Source organism: Homo sapiens, chromosome 10 (assembly GCF_000001405.40).
Source record: "Homo sapiens chromosome 10, GRCh38.p14 Primary Assembly".
Classification (NCBI taxonomy): domain Eukaryota; kingdom Metazoa; phylum Chordata; class Mammalia; order Primates; family Hominidae; genus Homo; species Homo sapiens.
Genome location: NC_000010.11, coordinates 6,223,717 through 6,242,509, shown reverse-complemented (window position 1 = coordinate 6,242,509; position 18,793 = coordinate 6,223,717). Strand labels below are relative to the sequence as shown.

Sequence of the window (18,793 nt, the reverse complement as noted above, 5' to 3'; positions counted from 1 at the left end):
TAATAGTTAAGGCGCATGAGGAAAACGAAGTGAGGATGTGGCTGGGCTGCCATCAGGCTGGAAAACGAGGTACCTGCTTCTGTACATAGGGGTGATGGTGTACCCTGGCCAGGCCCGTCCTGGGCAGGAATATAAAGTGTTAAATATTCTGGAGAGTGGGAGGCAAGGAGTTCATGGAAATCAGAGCTTGCAGAGACTTAGTTCAGAGACTTAAGAATTCATCTACAAAGGAATGATCATGAGTCCACAGTAGTATAAATAAATGACTGAATAAGTAAATAAATGGGGAGACGGAACAGATTTTCCTTATGAAAGAATTACAAATAAGTGTAAAAGGAATAAGGAAAATTGAAACTCACGAATAAGGGCCTGGCAAGGTAGCATAAGCCTATAATCCCTGCACTTTGAGAGGCTGAGGCGGGAAGAATCACTTGAGGCCAGTTAAAGACCAGCCTGGGCAAAATAGTGACACCCAACTCCACAAAAAATTTAAAAATTAAGCAGGACATGGTGGTTCACACCTGTAATCCCAGCTACTCGGGGGGCTGAGGTGGGAGGACTGCTTGAGCCCAGGTGTTAGAGGCTGCAGTCAGCTATAATTGTGCAACTGCACTCCAGCCTGGGTGACAGAGTAAGATCCCCATCTCTTAAAAAAAAAAAAAGAAAAGAAAGCAAAAAAAAATTAAAAAAAAGAAAACCACCATTAGAACACCACAATACAAATAATATCTGCTGCAAGGAAAATACACTAATGGATGCTAAAATTAGAAAGTGAAACATTAAGGAGAAACAGGATATTTACATACCCTCAAAGTATCTCCTTCACTGGTAGTTTTTGTATGTTGAGATGGGGTCTCACTATGTTGCTCAGGCTGGTATCGGACTCCTGGGCTTAAGCGATCCTCCCACCTTGGCCTCCCAAAGCACTGAGATTACAGGCATGAGCCATGCGACCTGGCCTGGTGATGGTTTTAACACATGGCCACAGATTCTTTGATACTGCTCCCTTCCGGAGGTGGAGCTCATTGCCCTCCCCTTGAAAGGGAGCTGGACTAAGTGACTCCTTCCTAAAAAATTGAAAGTTGAAGGGGAAAAATACCAGCCTGGTAAGAGTGGTTAGACACCACCTTCACCAAAGATCAAAGTTAACATCCCCAGAAGGAAGTCCTGTGTGGCCGTGTCCCCTCAGAGAGGATGTCATGAGAAGGGCGCTTCACCTCGGTGGGATTCTTCCCAAAATCCCTAACCAGACTCAGTCCCATCATGAGAAAACATGAGACAAACCCAAACTAAAGAACATTCTATGGCCAGGCGCGGTGGCTCACAGCTGTAATCCCAGCACTTTGGGAGGCCAAGGTGGGTGGATCACGAGGTCAGGAGTTCGAGACCAGCCTGGCCAACATGGAGAAACCCCGTCTCTACTAAAAATACAAAAAAATTAACCAGGCATGGTGGTGTGCACCTGTAATCCCAGCTACTTGGGAGGCTGAGGCAGGAGAATCACTTGAACCTGGGAGATGGAGGTTGCAGTGAGCTGAGATCATGCCATTGCACTCCAGCATGGGCAACAGAGTGAGAATCTGTCTCAAAAAAAAAAAAGAACATTCTACAACATACCTGACTAGTACTCTGCAAAAGCATCAAGGTAATAAAAATAAAAAGGAAAGAGTGAGAAATTGTCACAGATTGAAGGAGTCTAAGGAGATAAGGTGACACCCTGGACTCTGGATGCTGAAACAGAAAAACGGCATTAGTGGAAAAACTGGTGAGACCTGAATGAAGTCTGTAGTTTTGTTACTAGTACTGTACTAATCATGTTAACTCATAGTTTTGACAAGGGTACCATGTTGTTGTAAGATGTTTATATTACGGGCAGCTGGGTGAAACATAGACAGGAACTCTCTGTACTGTCTTTGCAACTCTTCTGTAAATCTAAAATTATTTCAGGCCAGGCGCGGCGGCTCACGTCTGTAATCCCAGCACATTGTGAGGCTGAGGCGGGCGGATCACCTGAGGTTGGAGTTCGAGATCAGCCTGGCCAACACAGTGAAACCCCATCTCTACTAAAAATGCGAAAATTATCTGGGCGTGGAGGCGGGCACCTGTAATCCCACCTACTAGGGAGGCTGAGACACAAGAATCGCTTGAACCCAGGAGGCGGAGTTTCCAGTGAGCCGAGATAGTGCCACCGCAGTCCAGCCTGGGGGACAAAGCGAGACTCCATCTCAAAAATACATACCTACTTACATAAAATAAATTATTTCAAAATAAAAAGTTTTCCAAAAACCATCTAGTCTAAGCCCTTTCTTGTACATGTAAGAAATCTAGGAATGCTAACTTGCAAACGTCCTGCATCCTAGCACTGAGCATGAGATAAATAGGAGCTTGGCCTATTGTTTGCAAAGCAGTAAAAGACTATTGTGAATGTAAGCAAACTTCTCAGTCTGTTTTAGAAAAGGGTGAATGTGGAAGTTGGGGATCCGAAAACATTCCCTTAAAATTATCTATGCAAATGTACCCCTCAGAAATTCTTCATTGTCAGGCACGGTGGCTCATGCCTATAATCCCACCACTTTGGGAGGCCCAGTGGGGCAGATCGCTTGAGTCCAGGAGTTCGAGATCAGCCTGGCCAACATGGTGAAACCCCATCTCTACTAAAAATACAAACATTAGCCAGGCGTGGTGGCGCACACCTGAAGTCTCAGCTACTCGGGAGGCTGAGGTGGGAGAATGGCTTGAGCCCGGGAGTTCAAGGCTGCAGTGAATCGACATCATGCCACTGCACTCCAGCCTGGGCAACAGAGCAAGACCCTCTCTCAAAAAAAAATATTAGAAAGTCTTCATGTTCTCCAGGAATAGGAAATCCCCAAAGATGCTGTCTGGAAGAGGTAGGGAGGGAAAAACACATAGCCTTACAGAATGGACATCTGGTCCCCAACGTTATGTGAGCATCTTGAGTTATGACCCACTCCAGAAAATCTGTTGTTCGTCTGGACACTGACAAACCTCTCCACAGCCCCAGGGACAGGAAACCCTGCTTGCTAATTAATATGCGACTCAACTCCCTTTCCTGTGATCTGCTGACTCATGCAGGAGCATCCTGGCAGTCTGTGGAGCCCTTAGGCTGTGATGTGACTCATCTGCGAGTCTAACAGACCTGGTTTATCTCAGTTATGGCTGAGCAAAATCAAGCAGCGTCCTTAAGCTCTCCTGACTACAGTTCCATATCTGAAAGGTGGGGATAATAGCATCTACCTTGCATTTGAAACGCCGGGCATGCATGCTCAGATGAATAACTACCACAGCGGTGCTCTCTCTGTGCCAGGAACTGTCAGGCGTGTTTCATTCATATTTCATCTTCCCCAGTGGGGCAATTCTCAACCCCTAAAGTCAGAAATACCATCCGACCCAGCAATCCCATTACTGGCTATATACCCAAAGGAATACAAGTTGTTCCGCCATGAAGACACATGCACGCGTATGTTCATTGCAGCACTACTCACAATAGCAAAGACATGGAATCAACCCAAATGCCCATCAATGATAGACTGGATAAAGAAAATGTGGTACATACACACCATGGAATACTATACAGCCATGAAAAGGAATGAGATCCTATCCTTTGCAGGGACATAGAAGGAGCTGGAGGCCATTATCCTCAGCAAACTAATGCAGGAACAGAAAACCAGATACCACATGTTCTTACATTTAAGTGGGAGCTAAATAATGAGAACACATGGACACATAGAGGGGAACACCACACACTGGGGCCTATCAGAGGGTGGTGGGTGGGAGGAGGGAGAGGATCAGGAAAAATAACTAATGGGTACTAGCTTACTGCCTGGGTGATGAGATAATCTGTACAACCAACCCCCATGACACAAGTTTACCTATTTAACAAGTCTATACATCCTGCACATGTACCTCTGAACTTAAAATAAAAGTTAAAAAAAAAAAAAGATTTAGTTCTCCCAATAAGTCTGAGAACTATGGCATTCCTTCACATCTTTTTTTTTTTTTTTTTTTTTTTTTGAGATGGCACCTCAGCCAGGCTCAGTGGCTCACACCTGTAATCCCGGCACTTTGGGAGGCCAAGGCAGGTAGATCACCCGAGTTCAGGAGTTCAAGACCAGCCTGACAAACATGGCAAAATGCTGTCTCTACTAAAAATATAAAACTTAGCCGGGCTTAGTGGCATGCACCTGTAATCCCAGCTACTCAGGAGGCTGAGGCAGGAGGATCACTTGAACCTGGGAGGTGGAGGTTGCAGCGAGCTGAGATTGTACCACTGCACTCCAGCCTGGGCAACAGAGCCAAACTCTGTCTCAAAAAAATAATAAATAAATAAATAAAAATTTCTCCAAAGACATTTCTCAGGGACTGCGCCAGGGGTCCTCTTTAGTCCCAAGGGCTGAAGTGTCATATTTTGAGGCGATTCGGGTGTCTTTATGGGGGTTTTCTTTTCACCTGGTCTTAGGAGTATGTCAGAAACTGTAGGTTGAAACCAGCGCCTTCACAAATTGTCTAGACCATCAATGAATTGACTGGAAAGACCGGCTCACACACCGAGAACAACTGAATCCAAACCCACTTATGTTGTCTTGCAAAATATGAGCTTAAAATGAAGTTTATAAAACAGTCTTTAGCTGGGCGTGGTGGCACACGTCTGTAATCCCAGCACTTTGGGAGGTTAAGGCAGGCAGTTCACTTGAGCTCAGGAGTTCAAGACCAGCCTGGGCAACATGGCGAAACCTCATCTCGACAAAAAATACAAAAATTAGTTGGGCGTGGTGGCACATGCCTGTAGTCCCAGCTACTCGGGAGGCAGAGGTGGGAGGATGACTTGAGCCCTGGAGACGGAGGTTGCAGTGAGCTGTCACACCTCTGCACTCCAGCCTGGGAGACAGAGCAAAACCCTGTCTCAAAAAACAAACTTTAGAACTCACAAGTATTGTGAAATTCAGATTTTGAAAACTCACAGAAGGCTTTGAATTTTTGTTAATACAATATTTTTAATTCAAAAAAAGTTACTTTCAACGACATCTTTGCTCACATTTCCTTTCTTCTATAAAGCCTTCCTAAGCCTCCTTCTGCAAGCTGAATGAACGCCTCACTCTTCACCAGCACATCATCTGGGTCTTCTCCCCAGCACTGGTTATCCATTTAGTGACAGAGCCCACTGCGGGCCAGGTCCGTATGGACGATGACGGGGCACAGGGAGCTGCCCTGCTCTCCGGGATCTTAGGCCCAGGTTCAGGAGACAGAGGGCAAGGCATTCAACACACACTGCGAAAGGTGTGCAGGGACTCGGGAGACGGGAGGCCTTTTTGGCATAGGCTTTGATAACTGAATGGGGATGGGGAGGAAGTGTCGGGGAGAACCCCGGATAGCTGGGGAGACCTCCCAGGGGAGGGAGCGGCACTCTCGAAGGCCCTGCGGTGGGTGCACGTTGGCAAGTTCGAAGACCTGCAGGAGGCCAGTGTGGCCGGAGCTAAGGGAGTGAGAAGTGGAAGGAACCGAGCCCAGGCAGCGAATGGAAACGACTGGTGTGTACAACGTCCACCCCTCTCCGGCCCCAGCCCTCCTCTCCCCGACAGCATCCACCCGGTTACTGAATCTTCCGTATTTAGTCAGTGACTGTGGACCTAGCCCATCTCTCAGATGAATCTCAGAGCTGGCCCAAAAGGTCAGAGCCCCTGTGGATCCCCACAGCCCGGCCGGCCCAGGACCTTACGATACACAGACATCCTCTTTGGGAGCAGTCTTTTAATTTTCTGGGTAGTCAGCCTGAAAGGCTAGGCCAGATTTCCGTCAACGCCACTGCTCCATCCCTGCACCTGACACATCTCACGCCATCAAACGTGGCTCAGAGCTTGAGGAGGTGGCCTCAGGTTCCCCAGAACGCTCTGCCCCGTCACGCTGCAGCCAGATCGCAACCCTGGGAGTCATCTCGCAACAGAGGTGCCAAGTCTCTGCCGCCTGTTCTCTTCACAGCGTGGGCGGCAGGCGCCTAAGGGATGAAGACTCACTGGGGAGTCAAGGCTATTTCTGGAGCGCAGCAGTGGGGGGCTCCGGAAAAAAAATCAGACCAAGCAAGACGCTGGTCACGCATACCAGCTGCAGAAGGAACCACTCCAGGGCTTCCTCCACGCATGGTGTTTGCCACGCTCCACCCTGAACCCTGCCCCATCTGCAGAGATGCAGACGCTGAGGCTGGAAGTGAAATAACCGGCTCAACCTCTGGCAGCCAATGAGCGGCAAAGAAGTCACAGAAGCTTGAGTTTTATTCCCTGCAGAAACATGGAAGAAGCCAGGAGATGGGGAAGGGCAGGTGAAAGGAACCTAACATGAAAGATACCTTCTGTAGTGCCAATGAGGCAAGAACTGGTGTTTAAAAGGGCGCGGGGAAGGGGTATAGAATGAAGGGAGTAAAACCGACGTGGGGCCAGGCACAGTGGCTCATGCCTGTAATCCCAGCACTTTGGGAAGCCGACGCAGGCAGATCACCTGAGGCCAGGAGTTCAAGATCAGCCTGGCCAACATGGTGAAATGCTGTCTCTAATAAAAATACAAAAATTAGCTGGGCATGGTGGTGCACACCTGTAATCCCAGCTACTAGGGAGGCTAAGGCACGAGAATTGCTTGAACCTGGTAGGAGGAGGTTGCAGTGAGCTGAGATCGCGCCACTGCACTCCAGCCTGGGCGACAGAGTGAGAAACAGTCTCAAAAAAAAAAAAAGAAAAAAAAGAAAAAAATTAAATTAAAAATAAAAATAAAACATGAAGCCTATCAATTAGAAGAAAAATTGAGACAGCTCATTCTCCCCAAATGCAGGCACTAGACACTCTGTACTTGAACATCCTGTTGAAAGGAAGATAATGAAGTGGTGAGTTGGCAGCTCCGTGGCGCATCTGCCGTAAACATCAATTAAAGACTCTTCTTTCCCCCACGAAAAGACCAGAGGTTTACTTCGTCCATGTATTTCAACCAGGTATTTTATTGGTCTGGCAACTGCAAAATATACAAATTTCTGAAAGGCATCTCCTGTTTGAAAGCTAGCATAGCTTTATATCCCAGGTCATTAATTCAGACAAATACACAGAACACAGAGAAGTCATAAGTCACACATAGGAGGCTCCCAAACCAATTAACAATGAAACCCAATCTCTACAGCTTTCTATTGTTTAGGCTCCTTATACATATTAAATAAATAAATAGCACATCTGCTATCAAAATAATAAAAAAATAAATTTCAAGTATTACAAAGAAAAATATCATTGGTGTGGTTCCAAACAGTTTTTCTTCTCTCTCAAAATGAAGAGCTTTGCCCGTGGTCTCAGGACAGAATAAGGAGGGGGGAAACTCACCCAAAAACAAATAGGCAAAGTTAAAAATATTGGTCCCCGTTATTTTGTGGGGTGGAGAGTTGGAGGAATCAGTAGACGCCAAAAGTTCATGACTGTAGCTCAAACCCAACCCCCGCCCCCGGCCCCCGTCCAATGTCCCCTCAAAAGGCAGGTCACTGGCTTGCAAAGTAGGCAGTGTTCTCCTTTCTATAGTATCTCCCTCCCTGTCCAGATTCATGTTACCTCTCTCCCTATCTAGGCCCTTCGCAAACTAAAAGTCCCGTGTTAGACCAAGGCTTCTGTATTTAGGTATTGATTTTAGGTAGTCAGAGGGGAGAGGGGACCACAGCTATCAAGCCCCTATCTGTATCAAACTTCAGAGTCGATGTTCAAAGAATGAGGCCTGCGAGGGGGACACGAGAAACTATTCTCAAGAGCAAAGCAACAGGCCTTCCATGTCAAATCGAAAAATACAACCAAGTTAAGCACAATCATGCACCCGTGCACGTCCACCCCCTACCCACATATTCTGATGAGACTCAACATCCAGGGAGAGAGAGAAAACTGCGCGAGCCTGGAGCTGCACGGGAATGCGGACAGAGACATCCTCTCCAGCAGACGCCAGCCAAAGTGGGTGCAACGGGCGGGGAGGGCTTGAATGGTTCAGCATGAAAATCCCCCACTTGATTGTACCATACCTGAAGCACAGCCTCAGTTCCTACTCAATTCCAACCAGGAAAAAAACATGCATTCTTTAAAAGCTCTTCCCAAAAAACAAACAGCAACGGCTCTTCTCTCCACGCCCAGTTTCAGGTGTCTAAATCTCCCACCCTCACCCAGGACCTGTCCCTTGAGCTGGGAGGAGGATCTCAGGGCTCACAGCAGAAGGCAGGAAAGAAAAGTGACCTTTGGCACAAGCTTTGAGACATCCTGAAAAGGGTCATTTGGACAAACTCTGCTGCCGAGTTTCCAAATGGTTTCATCTGGGCACGAGACCCCCCGTCCCACCTACCCCAGGGTTTGAGGCAATGAGGAGAAACCAACAGGCTGAGACGACAGGTCCCATGCTTTCCATCACCACAAAAGTGTCATAGACGCCATGAAGGGAAGGCCAGGACAAAGTCCACTCTTCCGACCTTCCCAAGGCACCGGCAGAGTGCCAGGCACAAGGCAGATGCTCCAAGACAGTGTGCAGGCAGCTCTTGAAGAAGTGGCTGCGAGTGAGGCCTTGCTTGGGCCACTGTCCCCACCTGGGAAGAGCAGGGACGGTAATGCAAGTGCTGGGGAAGGATGCCAGGTGTTCCGCTCCCCACCTTCAGAGGTTCCAAGCCCCCCAGGGCAAGACACCCCAACATCTACGTTCCTGAAGAGAAGGTGGGACTCTCAGGTCACACTTCTGCCATCAAAAAAGTGCAAAAGCCAGCAGCTCCAGGAAAGTGTTTCTCAGTTCCCCCCAAGTCCAGGTGGGAGGAGAGAGGGGCCCTGGAGCTCCCTGGGAGCAGGAGGCCCCAGTTCTCATATTTCGGCAAAATACTTCCCTCTCCCCGTGCAGCCAGCCTGCCCTTGCACATCTTTGGAGGCAGGCCACAGGCCTGGAAGGTGTGTGGACCTGCAGGAGAGCCAGGGTGCGGACCACCCAGCCAACTTGCGTCTCAGCTCAGGGACTTCCTGCAGAAGAGGCCTCAACCCAACACCTGTCCAAGTTCGTTCCCATGAGGCGTCTTCCCAGGTCAAGATGCACCAAACAGTCACGTGGAGGTTTTACACATTCCTTAACTTTCAGCAACTAGGAGCCTGCCTCCTTTAATTTTAGGATTCTGCCACCAGTGTGGTCTTCCCAGCTCCAAACGTGCCGGGAGATCACAGAAACGAAACAAAACAGCACAGTGTCCCCAGCGGCCTCCTGTCAGGACCAGCACTCATCACCCTCCCAAGGCTTTGTGAAGGTCTCCGAGGCTGGACATTCCTAGGAAACCCAGAGAGTGGAGGTGGGGGCCCCACGGCTAAAGGCAGGGCGCCAGGGACCCACGTGGCTTTCTGGTGTCCAGCGGCCGAGGGGACACAGACGGTGCCAAGCATGGTTCTCTTCGGCCAAGGCTCCCCCGCTGCTCCACCCCACCCTCTCCGGAAGAAGTCCTCAGGATACGTTTTGCCTCGGGCGGAGGGCAGGACACAAGCTAAGCTGCAGAAATGGAAATGGAATGGAACCGACACGTCTGCCTCAGTGTTTCCTGGAGGAGTCAGCGCTGCTCCGGGAGCCTTTCATGTTCTGTTTTCAGGAGAAAAGAGAGGTGGGGAGGGAGTTAGGATTTGTAGCTGGCTGAATTCTAAAGCAGAAGACGCGAGCCATGCAACGGAGAATTCTTCCCTCCCTCCATCCCAGACAAAGAACATGATCCAAGAAAGGTGCTGCCAACCTCACAGGCGGGAGAGAGCCCAGGTGGGCCTCAGAACATGACGCAAGATAACCCCAGAGTCTCAGAGAAGGGGCTGGGCACCAGGCCTGGAGCCCGCCTGGTGGGGGCCGTGTGGCTCCTGGAGGACCGTGAGCTGCGCGGCGCTGGGCACCAGTAACTACAGGAGCCTCATGCTCACGACCCCATAGAAATCCCACAAACCACAGCCAGGCAGAGGATGAGCCCGGGGCCTCCAAGGACACACAGGGCCCCTCCTCTCGACTCAGCTCAAAACAGAGCCACACTCCCAGCTCCTGCATCCAGATTCTGGGAACAGAGCTTGACAGGCAGAACACAGGTGATACATGGAATGGCTGGACGTGGTGGGGAGGCCCAGGTGGGGAGCCAGGCAGAGGGGTGTTGTTAAAGCCCTGCCCCACTTCTGATCACAGTGGCCCTCGCAGGGAGTTCCACCCCTAAGGCACTGGCCAGTACCAAACCCCCCCGCCACCCACCCCCCGCAAAAAAACATGCTCCAAAATCAGCGAGGAACACAACTGACTGCAGCCACTGCACAGCGGGCCTCCTTCCGTGACCTGCTTCACCTACGCCTCAAAAAACAAGAAAACACACAATGTTTAAAACTATTCTCTCCAGTCCTGAGTGTCTCCACCTGGACTGCTCTAAAGAGGGTGGGAGAGAGCCCAGGCACACAGGGCCACCGTGGCCCATGCCCACCCCACACAGAACTGGGGGTCCAAGGCTGGAGCCATCCACAGGGAGGAAAGTCACGGGGCTGGGCAGCATCAGAGCTATCGCCCAGGCGTGGGCCAGACTCAGGAACCCAGGTGATGGGTGCCCACCGGGAGGTGATGGGTGCCCGCCGAGAGGTGATGGGTGCCCGCCAGGAGGTGATGGGTGCCCACCGGGAGGTGATGAGTGCCCACCAGGAGGTGATAGGTGCCTGCCAGGGGATGACGGCTGCCTGCGGGGGTTGATGGGTGCCCGCCGAAGGATGATGGAAGTGATGGGTGCCCACTGGGAGGGGGCAATTCTCTTCAGAGAGCCCTGGGTCCTCATATCTAGGGAGAGCCCCAGCCGGGCTGTGGGATCACAGAGCAGGGCTGACATTTCCCTCCGCATCTGCTGGCTCCAACCTGTCCTCAACACCACCAGCCCACAGCTTCCGGCACCCACAGGTGATGGCGATGCAACAATAACAGTGGAGAGCCTGCAAGACCGGGTGATGTCCACGTCCTTCACCCAGGGGCCCCAGCTCAGGACACGTGGGGGGTGAGAGACAGACTAGAAAGGACCTCACGACAATGGTGTTGCACTTAACAACCTCGGCATGGAGACAGATGAGCCCCGCATTGCACGATGGCCAGTCTGCACACAGACCCAGATGCCGTGACGCGGTGCGGGACAGAGGGACATGCACCCAGGCATTTACCTTCCACAGTTAGTAAGGAGAAAACTTTGAGAAAATGTGACAGACAGTTCGTCTTTCAAGCAGAGTGGGGGAGAGGAAGAAACAGGTTGGAAAAGGAAAAAAAAAAAGAAAATCTTTAGTAGGATTTTCTAGTGTGCATTTGAAATTTTAAAAATGAAGGTTGCATCACAAATGCCAGGTGATCTCTCGATCCCAAGCAGCCGGCACAGCCCCCAGGAAGGCACCCCAGAGCACCAGGTCCGGACAGTTGTTCGTCCCCATCTTACTGGGAAACCAAGATCACAGGGGTGAAGACTCTAGGCTGGGCGTGGTGGCTCACATCTGTAATCCCAGCACTTTGGGAGGCCAAGGCGGGTGGATCACCTGAGGTCAGGAGTTTGAGACGAGCCTGGCCAACATGGTGAAACCCCATCTCTACTAAAAATACAAACATTAGCCGGGCATGGTGGCGGGCGCCTGTAATCCCAGCTACTCGGGAGGTTGAGGCAGGAGAATCGCTTGAACCCGGGAGAAGGAGGTTGCAGTGAGCCAAGATCGCGCCACTGCACTCCAGCCTGGGCAACAAGAGCAGAATTCCATCTCAAAAAAAAAAAAAGACTTCAGGCCATGGCCTTGAGACCCCAGGGATTTCCCCTCCCCAAGTCTGGGTGTTCCTGCTGCCCCAGAGAAGAAATCCCTCAGGTTACAGGAGGGTATCCAAAGGCTGACCCAATGCCAGCAAGCCCAGAAGTCTCCACAGGCCCAGGGCACCAAGTTCCTCCCTGATAACAACAGCAGCCGTCATCCCCCACGCACTTCCTAGGGGCCAGATATTGTGCTAAGTGCTGTATCTATAGTCTCATTATGACAACTTTATGAAGTTATTATCTCCATATTACAGATGAGGAAGCTGAGGTCCTAGAATTGCTTTAACTTGCCCAGAGTGCCAAGGATAGAGGCCAGGAGGAGTAGAACCAAGATGCAGGCCTGGCTTGGTCTGACTTTCATCATAAATTCTGGTCACAGAGCCCAGGTGGACTCCTAGAATCAGATGTGGCTACAATCCTAGATGTGGGGTCACGCACCCAGGATGGACGGGACAATGGGACTCCAGAGTGAAATTCCAACCTGAGTCAGGTGTGATGGGTCCATCGGATGTATTTTTGCTGAACAGGAGGGATTCTAGCAAACGCACTATTATGTTCATCTTGGAGATAGGTAAGATCAGCTTTAGCGGGTGGGGGACTATCCCCGAATGGCTCCTCCCAGTAGAAAGATTTCTTTCCTGGCAACATGAGGCCACGTGTCTAACGCAGGGGTCCCTAACCCCTGGGCTGTGGACCAGTACCCAGTCCATAGCCCACTGAGAGGCGGGCCACACAGCAGGAGGTGGGTGGTGGGTGGGCCAACATTACCACCTGACTCGGAGGAGCACACACGAGGGATCTAGGCTGTGCGTTCCCTTCAGAGAATCTAATGCCAGACGATCTGAGGCAGAACAGTTTTATCCCCAAACCATCCCCTACCCTGCCATGGTGGGGAAAATTCTCTTCCACGAAACGGGTCCCTGGTACCAAAAAGGTCGGGGACTGCTGGTCTAAAGGATCAGGACATGCACAGATGTAAAACCTTCAGGCTCCAAGTCCAAAAAGTTTCACACAAGGAGAAGCCCAGATCCTGAAGCACTGCACGCTGGCCCCGCGCATCACAGACACTGGCCCTGAGGATGGAGGGTGCGCCCCAAGAAGCTGGAAGTTAAGGGCAGGCCCACCTTAGGTAAGCAAAGCCTGGCTGTGGGAAGCAGCTGCAAGGGGGTGGCTGTGGGGGTACACGAGGGTCCAACAGCTGCCCATGCCTTGCGGGTCACAGGGCAGGGGCCTCAGGACAGCAGCAGGGAACGGGCACCCAGCCCACTCCCAGAAGCCGCAGAGAGGAGGCGGCCGGCTTTCTGAAGCAAGGGGCCTTTCAGGCCCCGGCTCTGCGGCTCACCTGCTGGAAGCACGGGCCGGTCACTCAGCCCCTCAACCATTAAACGGGGGACTGACTGCCCTGCCGACCTCCCAGGGTGGTCTTAAGGAACGTGGACATGGAGGACACTGGTACATCCTCTGGCCCTTCACCCCTTTGCCACCAAAATCTGAGCGCCATGCCAAACCTCTCCCATTTCCAAAGCCAGTCATTCTTTTCAGCATCTCAGGCTGCATTCCTCATCACACCTTTCCAGTTTCTGCATAAAGTAGTTAAGGTAACTTAAGGAGCAAACAGGAAATAAAGGGGCGGGTGTGTTTTTGGGGGGGCAAGGGGATGACACTTCATGTGGCTGTCATTAAAGTTCTGTGGCAGGAAGGCCTCTGCTCCTGGTGGGGAAGGGATCCCAGAGCAGTGGGAACACAGCCCCAGCTACCCAGTGGCTGCCAGAGCTAAGGCTGAACCTGAAACTCTGCAGAGAGCTCTGGGAGGAGCAGAAGTGACCACATGGGTTAGAGATGGAGGCTGCACCCAGCCCCGGGCGTGACTATGACGCTGAGCAGGCTCCAACCCAGGACAAACGGATCCCCAAGGGTCTCCACTCGGAGCTCTTTTGGGGTGTGGGGGGTCCTCATGGGGAGGGAGAGGCTCAGAGCTCAGGCCCCACCACACTCCCACTATTCCCCATAGGTTTGGTTTACAGATTAGGCTCTGAGTAAGTTTTCCTTCCAAAACAAAGGACACTCCTGGGGCAGGAGGGGGCTTTAAGGCTAATGGCACCTGGCACAGATGCAGCTCGCCACCAAGATCTGATTCTGATAAGGAAATGTGGATTTATGCCGAGCCCTAAACCACGGCCATTACACACCACGACCTGCAGCCCTGAGAGGGTAGGGGAGAAGCCAGCGGTCGTGCGGCGGTGTCGGAACACACCCAACAGTAGTGCAGCCACCATGACCGCCTGCACGCTTTTCCAAAAACATTCAGGAATCTCTCCTCCCTACTCCTACGCCCATCTCCTCCTTCCCCCACGGAAGACCTCACATCACAAAACTGCTCTCATCCTCAATATTTTAACAGGCAGGAGGCCAAATGAGCAAGCAGGAAGAAAGCAGTGCAAGCAGCAGCGATGATCGGAGAGATACTTACAGACAGGCTTGCCCTAGCAAAGGCTGCGGAGGAGAAGCAGAGAGAGAAGTCAGTCAGGAGGCAGGGCGCAATCTGCAGGGACGAAGCCCTGAAAAACCCCACGCCGGCCCAGCCAGCAGCTTCAGACGTCCCTAAGAACCTGGCCACCCTGAAGGACTGTCCTCCCAACGCCAGGGGCAGCTCTGAAGCGGACAGGAGGATGCAGCCCCTGCCACTGCGTCCTCCACGACGGAGGTCTGTGCAGCTCAGGATATCAACCCCCTTCCCCAGCCTGGTCCCCCCAAGCATCAAAGCAGCGGCCTCTGAACTTCCAAATACAACTGCACATTTCCATCAGAACGGATGCCACAGGGACACCATTTCAGTTCTGCTGGCTTTTCATAAAAACCCTCAGATCTGAGACCTGCAAGGGAATATGTATGAGAGCTCTCCCAGTCCTGCTCCTATCATGTGCAAAGCTAAGGAGACTGAGGGCCTGGGAGGGGAAGGAACCTGGGCAATTAAATTGCTGCACTCATGTTAGTGTGGAGCTACCACCAAAGCCAGGCCTCCAGGCTTCCGCTAATCACAGCCACCTCACCGTGTCTACGCGTCCCCACCACATGCCCGACACTGGGCCTGATGCAGGGCATGAATCCCCTCATCTGATCTGACTTCTGCACTGCCATTATTCCCCCATTGCCTGGATGAAAAAACTGAGGCCTGGAGAGGTTAAGTGACCTGTGGAGGCTGCAGCATCTCCCAGGTCACATTCCAGACATCATGAGGTCTAAGGAAGTCTCGGAAAAGGCGGGAAGAGGTGGCAGGCTGAAAAGGATGCTCAGAGCCAGCACCAGCATCCGGCTCATCAACAAACCTGACCGGAAGCTGCACTGGGCTGATTTGTGGGGGCAGGCCTGGAGGGTGGAGGTAGGGCAGACCCTTGGGTGGTACCTGAATTTAAGCACAGAAATTCCTACATCTCACATATTTGCAAGGGTTCCAGGCTGTAAAGGAAAAGACCAGTTTTCTGAAAACAAACAGTTTTCTGAAAACAAATCTTAATGTCTGACAACCAAAATCTTCCAGGCCTGTAACCTTCAAAATTAATGAAATAAGTGAAATCGGGTTGGGGTTTTTTGCTTTTTTTTTTTGAGACGGAGTCTCCCTCTGTCACCCAGGCTGGAGTGCAGTGGCACCATCTCGGCTCACTGCAACCTCCGCCTCCTGGGTTCAAGCAATTCTCCTGCCTCAGCCTCCTGAGAAGCTGGGATTACAGGCGCCCGCCTCCACACCTGGCTAATTTCTGTATTTTTAGTAAAGACAGGGTTTCGCCATGTTGGCCAGGCTGGTCTGGAACTCTTGTCCTCAGGTGATCCGCCCACCTCGGCCTCCCAAAGCGCTGGGATTACAGGCGTGAGCCACCGCGCCTGGCCTTGTTTGTTAGGTTTTTTACTACCTGCTGGGATAACCATGTTATTTATGTGAGAAAGTAGCCACTTTCTTTGTTTTAGAAATAACCATTCACGAACGTGAACGGGTCTTGGACATCTCACTCTTCCTTCTGCACTGCCTGCTTCTGCCCTGTAAAGACCCCATCCTCAGAAAGGAGGCGAACGCAGTCACGGTTGTCACCAGCAAGGAAAGCCCCCAGGATCTTAACTTCGGAGGGTGCTTCCTATGTTCTCCCTCAACACGTGAGTGTGTGCACATGCCCCCACAACACACGTGCACAGACACCTACAACATACGCACGCGCACCCACACGCACCCACGCACGTATTCTTGCAAACACACACGCACGCAATCCCAGATCTGTGGCATCACGCCCGGCATGCGTCCCCCAGGCAGGAAGGAAAGGGGAGTGCACTGACTTGTCCAGGCAGCTGCGTGGGCACCTCCGGGGGCAGGCAGCTGGGCAGGGCGGCCGAGGTGGAGGCCACATGCTCCTCAAAGCTGTTGATGCGAGGCTTTTTGGTGGGTTCGGGGCTGGCTAGCGGGGTGACACTATTGCGTCTCATGAGCGGGTTAGGTCCCTTCTTTGCATCCTAAGCAAGACAAAGACAAAAGAGAGAAAGGCGACAGTTACAAAGAAGGGGAGGAAAATTAGCCCCAAAAAAGTTTCTCTGCTCCTGGATTTTAGAGAGGCAAAAAGACTGACCGAGGGGAGTGGCCGGGACCACGGGCCAGGGACCATGGGCTGCTGAGTGTGCGGTGACTGCCAGGCAGCAAGAATGGGGGCAATTCCCTCCCATGCCCCCTTCCTCGGATGGTACCAAAGGATTCCCCACACAGACAAACACGGTGCTTGCAAAGCAAGGAGGGAAAGAATGATGATCACAGCAGAGCGTGAGGTCGGAGAAAAGAGCTTTGCTTCCAGCCTCTCTTGAGAGCTGAGGAGGGGCATCTAGGAGGGAGAGGCTGGGCCTGAGGCTCACAGGCTGGGGAGGGGAAGGCAACTGTGCTGACTCCCTTCCGCTGACCCGAGGCAGGATCTGAAGAGCCATCTCTACTACACAAAGGGCACCCTGGCTTAGGATGGGGCACGGAGGCTGCAAAACAAGCCTGGAGACCAAAGGCGCAGAAAATGTGCAGCAGGAAGCAGGTTCTGCGGCCAGGACCAGACACAGCCCTCCCATGAGAGGGACAGCGTGATGGGGTGTGGGCCTCCAGCCTCAGAACCGGGATCTGTCTCCATCATGGCCCTGCCCCCATTCCCTGCAGGGAAGAGCTCCAGGACCGGCTCAGGCCCAATCCCATAGCGGGGGCAGTGGCTCCCTGACCAGGGCTGTTGTCATATGGCTAAAGGCAGGACAGCATCCGGTGACCCACATTCCGAAGTGGAGGGGGTGACAGGGACCAAGGCGGCCAAGGGACCCCAGCCTCTCTCAGGTCAGCCCACCAGCCAGGCAACTGCCAGCGACTGGGGCGGACACCTCATCCCTTCATGCCAAAATCCGAAGGCCAAGCTTCCTGGGACTAGACAGTCACCTGTTTCGGGAACGCCATGACAGAAAGTCACGCTCGGTCTAAGAGAAAGGTCTGACTAGTACTAGCACAGTGTTGTACTTTTGGCAGCCTGTACACGGTGAATTCAAACTCACTTTCACAACACGCGTCCACCTGAGCAGAGGCCCACTCTACTCAGTCAGAGGCAGCCTGGCCCACCTCCAAATGTCAGGCCTCCCCCCAAGGTAGACAGCAGCTGCACGGCCAGGCCTCGAGGTCTCCTGAAGCGCCTCCCCACCCGCCACCCCCCAGGCCTCTGCTCTCCACGCCTCCCGTCTCTCAACACCGTGTTCTTGGTGGTTCTGAGCCTAATCACAAGCACATGGCGGCGCTGACCTGCTGATCCTGTTTGAAACAGTAACTCTGGAAACTGAAAGCACTGGTTTTAGCTGCCAGAAAGGAAAGGCAACAAGAACTGTGCCATGCTGATGTTAAAGAGAAGAGACGCTGGGCACAACGGCTCACACCTTTATCCTAGCACTTTGGGAGACTAAGGCAGGAGGATCACTTGAGCCCAGGAGTTCAAGACCAGCCTGGGCAACACAGTGAGACCCCATTATCTAAAAAAATGAATAAATTAAAATTAGCTGGGCATGGTGGTGCGCACCTGTAGTCTCAGCTACGCGGGAGGCTGAGGCGGGAGGATCACTTGAACCCAGGAGGTTGAGGCTGCAGTGAGCCGTGACTGCGCCACCGCACTCCAGCCTGGGGAACAGACTGAGACCCTGTCTCAAATAAAAAAAAAGAGAGAATGTATCTTCCTCACTAATATTCATATCTCGAGCTCAGCAGAAATGGGAGGAAGAGGACACAGGAAGAAAGAAAATGAGAAGGCCCCAGAAGCCACAGAACAGACAGGCAGGAACAAAGAGGTGCTGAGGAAGGCAGCCAGCAGGCCCATGGCCCCAGACAGGCCAGCACCTGCAGGCAAGCGGCCCCGGGGCCTCCTGAGCGCCCATCACCCACTAGGGCTATCGTGTGATGATGGCCAGGATGAGGCTTGGGGCCTCCACTCACCTCTGACCTCTCCCGGTGTGTGCAGACGGACTCCACGTTCAGGTAGATGGATTCCACACGGCAGCCTGGAGGGCGTGGGATGGGGGCAGAGGAAGCTGCTGTTAAAGGGACAGCACCGCTTACAGCCCACGGCCACAAGAAGCTACTGTGGCCACCTTCAGGGGGACAGGGCTTGGCAGGGGTTGCTACTCACCATAAGCGACAGGCGTCAGTTTCAGGACGGTGTGAAGAGGGCATTTCAGGTAGGGCATCTCCTCTGAAATTGAAATTGTACACCCACAGTTAGAAATGAGACACGGCCAGGCGTGGTGGCTCACGCCTGTAATCCCAGCACTTTGGGAGGCCGAGGCAGGTGGATCACCTGAGGTCAGGAGTTCAAGACCAGCCTGACCAACATGGCAAAACCCCATCTCTACTAAAAATACAAAATTAGCCAGGGTGTGGTAGCACATGCGTATAATCCCAGCTACTCAGGAGGCTGAGGCAGGAGAATCGCT

General features: G+C 52.3%; 1 protein-coding gene across 19 annotated transcripts in view, besides 1 other annotated feature; it reads right to left on the bottom strand.

Annotated features, from left to right (window-relative positions):
- PFKFB3 (6-phosphofructo-2-kinase/fructose-2,6-biphosphatase 3) overlaps positions 1-18,793 on the bottom strand; it is a 181,717-nt gene that overhangs the window by 84,128 nt on the left and 78,796 nt on the right. For 10 of the 19 annotated variants that reach the window (NM_001145443.3, XM_047425346.1, XM_047425343.1 and 7 more), the window contains 4 exons: positions 18,490-18,552; positions 18,297-18,361; positions 16,145-16,318; positions 6,978-9,615 (listed from right to left, as the gene is read on the bottom strand). In NM_001145443.3, coding sequence (NP_001138915.1) covers positions 9,568-9,615; positions 16,145-16,318; positions 18,297-18,361; positions 18,490-18,552 — 350 coding nt within the window. In that variant the 3' untranslated portion in view covers positions 6,978-9,567. Of the gene's footprint in view, positions 1-6,977; positions 9,616-14,291; positions 14,315-16,144; positions 16,319-18,296; positions 18,362-18,489; positions 18,553-18,793 lie in introns of those variants that run through there. The other 9 variants (NM_001323016.2, NM_001314063.2, XM_047425344.1 and 6 more) reach the window with 4 other exon arrangements.
- Positions 16,873-17,042: an enhancer, noted in NCBI's record as "experimental_13537 CRE fragment used in MPRA reporter constructs". NCBI's record gives its function as "activates a minimal promoter by MPRAs in K562 erythroleukemia cells, with activity observed for the non-introgressed 10:6267516 variant allele {active_cell/tissue: K562}" and the evidence as "EXISTENCE:reporter gene assay evidence [ECO:0000049][PMID:34662402]".